Here is a 7638-nt window from a genome sequence, read left to right as displayed (position 1 = left end):
TAACATGTTGTTTTACTAAATGCAAGAACGCGTTTTCCTTTAGCAATTTATTAATGAGCTAAAAGCATTCTTAAAGTGGTGGAAGCTCACCAGATGTGCTTAGGGTCATTGTTTAACTAAAACAAAGTTATATATATACAGATTTATTCATGCACACATATATTAAAAGTGTCATATATATTTACATGCACGCAAAAAGAGGCATGCATGACTCATGGGATGCTCTTATGGTTGGGATCTAACCAGGAATCAGAAACCATTTGAGTTTTTAAAAAAGGAGGAGTTTAGGCCTGGTGCAGTGGCTCACGCCTGTAATCCCAGCACTTTGGGAAGCTGAGATGGGAGGATCACGAGATCAGGAGATGGAGACCATCCTGGCTAACATGGTGAAAACCCATCTCTACTAAAAGTACAAAAAAAAAAAATTAGCTGGGCGTGGTGGCTGGCCTGAAGTCCCAGCTACTCTGGAGGCTGAGGCAGGAGAATGGCGTGAACCTGGGAGGCGGAACCTGCAGTGAGCTGAGATCGTGCCACTGCACTCCATCCTGGGAGACAGAGCAAGACTCCGTATCAAAAAAAAAAAAAAATCAATTAAAGGGTTAAACTCATGCCTAGGTCGTAACACACTGTGCCAATTTACTGATTGGATTGTCCAGTTGCATGTCAGGGTCATTTTTTTTTTTTTTTTTTTTTTTTTTGAGACAGAGTCTCACTTTGTTGCCCAGGCTGGAGTGCAGTGGCTTGATCTCAACTCACTGCAACCTCTGCCTCCTGGGTTCAAGTGATTTTCCTGCCTTAGTCTCCCAAGCAGCTGGGATTACAGACACATGCCACCACACCCGGCTAATTCTTGTATTTTTAGTAGAAACGGGGTTTCACCATGTTGGCCAGGCCGGTCTCGAACTTCTGACCTCAGGTGATCTACCCACCTTGGCCTCCCAAACTGCTGGGATTACAGGCATGAGCCACCATGCCTGGCCAACAGCCAGCATTTTAAGTTGATCAAAGTAGATGTTTCTCCTCTTTTTCCTAACTCAGGCCCAGGAAGCTGTCCCTTCACATTGTGTGTGGCCAACTGAGACTGGAGACCATCTTAGACTGGATTAAGACCATCTCAGACTGGATTAAGGCTGTGATCAGTTTCTGCTGCTTCCCTGCTTTGCTCTTCTTTTTCCCTCCGTGTTGCTCAGTGCAGTTTCCAACACCTTCACAAAGGGGGCAGAGAAGTGACGAGCCTTAAAGAGGGGCATGGAGGGTAGGGCAGGAAACTTATTTGACCAGTGCTGTGGAAGCTTGGCTTCATGCTTTCTGGGCCTGGCAGATGTTTAATGCTTCCTTTCTCTTGTAGACATGTGTATGGGTTTCTTGGAGACGTTTCCAGGGTTGGGCATCTCCTACCTACAGTTCCCTTGTATTTGTCTGTTTTCACACTGCTATAAAGAACTACCTGAGGACAGGCACCATGGCTCACGCCGGTAATCCCAGCACTTTGGGGGCTAAGGTGGATGGATCACTTGAGGCCAGGAGTCTGAGACCAGTCTGGCCAACATGGCAAAACCTCGTATCTACTGAAAATACAGAAATTAGCCCAGTGTGGTAGCAAGTGCCTATAATCCCAGCTACTCGGGTGGCTGAGGCACAAGAATTGCTTAAACCCGGAATGGGGAGGCTGTGGTGAGCTGAGACTCGGTAATTTATAAAGAAAAGAGTTTTAATTGGCTCACAGTTCTGCATGACTGGAGAGGCCTCAGGAAACTTACAATCATGGCAGAAGGCAAAGGGGAAACAAGGCACGTCTTACATGGCAGCAGGAGATAGTAAGCACAAAGGTGCAAGTGCCACACTTCGAAACCATCAGATTTCATGAGATCCCACTATCACCAGAACACCAAGGGGGAAACTACCCCACGATCCAATCACCTCCCACCAGGTCCCTCCCCTGACACATGGGGATTACAATCTGAGATGAGATTTGGGTGAGACACAGAGCCAAACCACATCATCCCCTAATGAGGAAGAATGAATTTCTTTTCCCGCTGGTCTCTAAAAGGCTCCTTTCTCAGCCTCTGTGAATCTGCACTTCACCTCCAGCCTCTTTGCACTGAAGTTCCTTCACATTGTGTGTGGCCATCTCAGACTGGATTAAGACCAGCCCATCAGCACCCTCCCACATGATCCATTTCCAATCTGCAAGAAATCTTGTTGCATCCTTTGCTCCAGTAAACTCTCATGGAGCAGGGAGTGCCCAGCTCAACTGTTCCCCCTTCTACTAGCCAGCCTGCTTTCCACTCTCAGGAGTTGCAGTCAGACACTGGGCCGCTCGCTGGGCCCCACCGTGCCACTCTAACTGTGGGGTCCTGATGGAACTCCACTGGGCTTGAAGTACAGGGCAGAGCCTCTCCATCTGCTCCTTGGGTGGGGGTGGTAGAAGGGGACACCTAGCACCCTAATTGCTCCTTTTACTCCTTCAATGTGGGTAGGGGCTTTGGAATCTTATAATACTTTTTGGTTTTCTCTTTTAAAAACTTGCAGCTTGGCTTGGCACTCAACTAAGCAATATCATCTATTTTATCTCAGTGCATCAGTTGAAATTTATTTTTTCCAGATGGGGAATCTTAGAACTAAGGGAATCTCCCGATTGCATGAAGAGAACATGCCCACATCTTGAGAGAAACGGATGGATCTTCCAGTCTCTACTTTTTTCTCCCATACTGAAACTATCCCACATACAGCCCTGGGGATATCATTTGACTTTAGAGACTAGAATCCAACACCACACTCAACAACTTTCCCACCTATGCGGGAATTCTAATAAACTTAGTAACTCGGACAAATGTCTGTGAGCATTATAAAAATCACATTTCATCAGCAAGCTGTCAAAAGCAACTTTAGTTGACTTACAGCTCAAAAAAAAAAATCAACTTCATTTTCCCTGCAGCATTCATGTTATGCCTTGGTGTTTCAAAGATTTCTCATGTCTCAACATTGAAACATCCATCTTGACTAATGGCAAAATTATACCCACAGGGTTTTACAAAAGACAAAAATTTGTCCTCATTTTCTATCAGAGTATCTCCTACAATGTTTCAGTCCAGTATCTTTGAAATACCATGTTTCATCAACTGTATTTATCCTTATATAGCTGGTAGACCCCTTACAGTTTGTTTTCTTGTCTTGCTGATGCAACGGCATATGAAGGCATTTTGTATGTCACAAATTAAGAGGAAAATAGCAAAGTTGTATCAGGAGAAGAGAAACAAGTTGTTCACAGAACAAAACAAAAAGCCTACATAAACAAACTGCGCTTACTAAGTGGATATCATAAAATACATGATTTGTTAACCTAGGCACAAATCCCCCTTTCCAAACTTGGATTCTGCCATTGTCCTATACATTTATTGTCACTCACATGTCATATTTTCCCCAAATACCAATTTTCAATCGGAGTTCCCCAATTATAAACACATTTCTCTCTGCTTGGAATGACTTTCTCCTTTGTGGCCTGATATCCAGGGATTAATTCAAATGTCTGTTTCTCACGTTTGGGCAGAATCGGTTTTTCTATTCCTTGTAATCCCCTAGAACAGAGGTTGACAAACTACAGTCCTGTGGGTCAAATCCAGCTGACCACCTGTTTTTATAAAGTTTTATTGGAACACAGCCACCTCATTCATTTACATATTATTTGTGGTTGCTTTCTTGCTAGTATGTAGAGTTAAGCGGTTGCATCAGGGACTTCTTGGCCCACAAAGCCTAAATATTAATTATGTGGCACTTGACAGAAGAAAACTGCTGACACCTGCTGTATTAGTCCGTTCTGGCATTGCTATAAAGAAATACCTGAGACTGGTAATTTATAAAGAAAAGAGGTTTAGCAGGGACATGGATGAAGCTGGAAACCATCATCCTTAGCAAACTAACAAAGGAACAGAAAGCCAAACACCGCACGTTCTCACTCATAAGTGGGAGTTGAACAATGAGAACACATGGACACAGGGAGGGGAACATCACATACTGGGGTCTATTGGGGTGGGTGAGGGAAAAGGGAGGGAGAGCATTAGGACAAATACCTAAGGCATGCAGGGCTTAACCTAGATGATGGGGTTGACAAGTGCAGCAAACCACCATGGCACATGTATACCTATGTAACAAACCTGTATGTTCAGCACATGTATCCCAGAACTTAATGTAAAATAAAAAAATAAAGACGAGAGGTTTAATTGGCTTACAGCTCCACAGGCTGTACAGGAAGCATGATGCTGGCATCTGTTCAGCTTCTGGGGAAGCCTTAGGAAACTTACAATCATGGTGGAAGGCAAAGGAGGAGCAGGCAGGTCACATGGCCGGAGCAGCAACAATGGAAGTAGGAGGGAGGTGACATACACTCTTTAATGACCGCATCTCAAGAGAACTTACTATCACAAGGACAGCAGCAAAGGGATAGTGCTAAACCATTCATGAGAAATCCAGTCACCTCCCACCAGGTCCCACCTCCAACACTGGGGACTACGTTTCAACATGAGATCTGGGCAGGAACACACATCCAAATGATATCACCTGCCCTAACACATTGCATATGTACAATAGGGCCCTTGTCATCCTGGATGGAGATTGTTTGCTAACTTACAAGTTCACCCCCACCCCCACCCCCAACAGTGATAGTCTTTCCATGTACAGACCAGGAAGAACAAGGTGTCTGAAAGTTTCAAGTTTTAGCTCTGCCACTTATGAGCTGTGTGGCCTTGAAAAAACTATGTAATCTGTCTGAGATGCTGGTTTCTCACTTGCAAAATAGGGATAATAATAACCGCAAAGGTTTACTGAGAGGATTAAATGAGATATACCAAAAGTGCTTCCAATACTGTCTGGAACAACAACAAAAAAATGTTAGTGATAAGTAATCTTTTTATCCCACATACCATGGAAGTAGCCCACACTAGTAGAGTGCCTGAAATCTAGTGTCTTCTCCATAAAGTTTCCTGCATTTGTTGGCAGAGTGAATGAAAAAAGATATAAATATTCCTGGAAGATTAAAATAATGGAAAATATCCAAAGTCATAGACTGATTCCATGCACAAAGCAGAAGCTTGACTCAACATAAAGGAGGTACAATAAAGCAAAGACGTAAAAATCTTCATAGAAGCATGTCTTACTCCATTTGCATTGCTATAAAGAAGTACCTGAGGCGGGGTAATTTATAAAGGAAAGAGGTTTATTTGGCTCATGCTTCTTCAAGCTGTGCAAGCATGGTGCCAGCATCTGCTTGGCTTCTGGTGAGGGTTCAGGAAGCTTAGTGGTAGATGAAGGGGGAGCAGGCATGTCACATGGCAAGAGTGGGAGCAAGAGAGAAGCCAGACTCTTCTAAAGCACCAGTTATTGTGTGAACTAACAGAGTAAAAATTCGCTCATTACCATGAGGAGGGCATCAAGCCATTCATGAGGAATCCACCCCCATGACCCAAACACCTCCCACTAGCCCCACTTCCGACATTGGCGGTCCCATTTCGATATGAGATTTGGAGGGGACACATAACCAAATCATTTCAAAGGAGAAAAACTGGAAAGCTTTGTTAAAGAATATAAATCCTCCTTGAGTTACATGGTTAGTTTGTGTAAGACGGAAATCACAGAAATGTAGTAGGAAAGTCTACCCTCCACCCCGCTCTGCTATTCTGTTGAGTTTGAAAGAAGGAAGACAAGACACCAATGTAATTCTCACCTGCAGTTCATGCTAAGTGAGGAGACTCCCTAAATCCTTATGTACCATGACTTTTTTTTTTTGAGATGGAGTCTCGCTCTGTCGCCCAGGCTGGAGTGCAGTGGCGCAATCTCGGCTCACTGCAACCTTTGCCTCCTAGGTTCAAGCAATTCTCCTGCCTCAGCCTCCCTAGTAGCTGGGACTACAGGCGTGTGCCACCATGCCCAGCTAATTTTTGCATTTTTAGTAGAGATGGGGTTTCACCATGTTGGCCAGGATGGTCTCGATCTCTTGACCTCGTGATCTGCCCACCCCAGCCTCCCCCATGACTATTGAATTAACCAAATACATGTTATACAAGAAATACCCACAACTTGGCCCCCAAATGGGACTAGATACTCCTCCAGCTTGTGCTACACCCAGGGCCTCACCTGCCCATCTCTTTCCTAAGTCTATGGGTCCTATGCTCTTAATTCTGTAGCCTCTCTGCAGAACCCCAAGCCGGAGCACTGTAGCTGTGTCACTGGTAAGGGGGAACTGTGCTCATTTGCCATGATTAGAAGATCTTTGAAGGTCTTTGGTAGTTTTCATCAAGGCATAAAAAGCAATTATTGCAATTAATGCAATTTACCATGTGTTACTCTTCCAGAAAAGCTATTTCAGGGTAGGTCTGCCATCTGTCCCTTTCAGAGCGATAAGCCTTATCATTTAACACTGTCCAGAGTCTCAGGGTTTGCATGTAAAACCTCAGGGAGTATCCTCAGAGAAACCCACTCCAGCATTTCCTGTGGGGCTCTTCCAGGTATCAGGTTCATAGACAATCTTCACTTCCAACAACAGAAAAGCGTTTGTGTCTGGGTAGGAAGAAGAAAGAACGCGGTCTCTAAATGGATATTCAGACATTCGTTTCTGCAGAGGGAGCCCTCAACCAGCAGAGGGAGCTTACTTTTTGCCATCAACAACCCTTTCCCTTAACACAACACTGATGCTTGAAGATGTTGTCTACCAACATTGCTTCTGACAACCAGGAAATACAGAGGAAACACCATAACTGGCATATGTTGTTGCACGAGCCAAGGGGAATAGAAGAGTTCTTGCCAAAGAGATCCAAGCTAAACAGGAAGGAAAGGAGACAAAATCACGACTCATAGTTTATATTGGGTGATTTTTCAAACATAAAAAATAATGGACATTTAAGACCAAAGTCCAACTATCACAGATCAAGTAAAAATCCACCTGCTATTTTTATTCTTTTGGAAAAAAAAAAAAAACCAACCAAATACTTGATTCCTGTCTTTGTCTTTTTTAGATGGATGATGTGGGGTTCTTGGGAAATATGAAGTGGTATAAACCATTTTAAAAAGCATAGTGCCAGCCAAATGGCTGGAAAACTCGTACTTTGCTTCTCACCAATCTCCCTCATTCCTCTCTAAAAAATCTGGCTGCAGGGCTGCTAAGTGTATCGTGAAAAGAGAAACAGGGCAGGCTTTCCCCCGTGAAAATAAGATTCACGAAGGCACTGAGAAGCAAACCAGCTTTTCTCCTCATTCACACATTTGGTAGAAGCTGCCATTTTCCAAGTTTGGCACCTTTTTCCTTTCCAATAACCAAGAAGATTTTATGTATAAAATATTTATGTATCTATCAAGTACTGCCTCTATGCTTTTTAATGACTAAATGTTTCTATAATTCTTAAAATCCTAATGCTTTGGTTTGTACACTGTCTTTTTTTTTTTTTTTTTTTTTTTACTGTCAGCCATGTAGCCCTTGGGTTTATGAAAAGTTGCTGCAAAATAAATTTGGCTCTTTGAGATGATATTTGGAACCCTCTGCACTTGTTTATCAGGAGACAGGCTGTTCCCTCCTTGCCTACCTTCCAATGAGCCCAAGGGACTGGGGCAACGGTGTTTGCCTGAGGTGTAACGACAGCTTGTCCTTCT

The sequence above is a fragment of the Homo sapiens genome, chromosome 10 (assembly GCF_000001405.40).
Source record: "Homo sapiens chromosome 10, GRCh38.p14 Primary Assembly".
Classification (NCBI taxonomy): domain Eukaryota; kingdom Metazoa; phylum Chordata; class Mammalia; order Primates; family Hominidae; genus Homo; species Homo sapiens.
The sequence above is the reverse complement of the archived record's forward strand: the minus strand, read 5'-3'. Positions refer to the sequence as shown.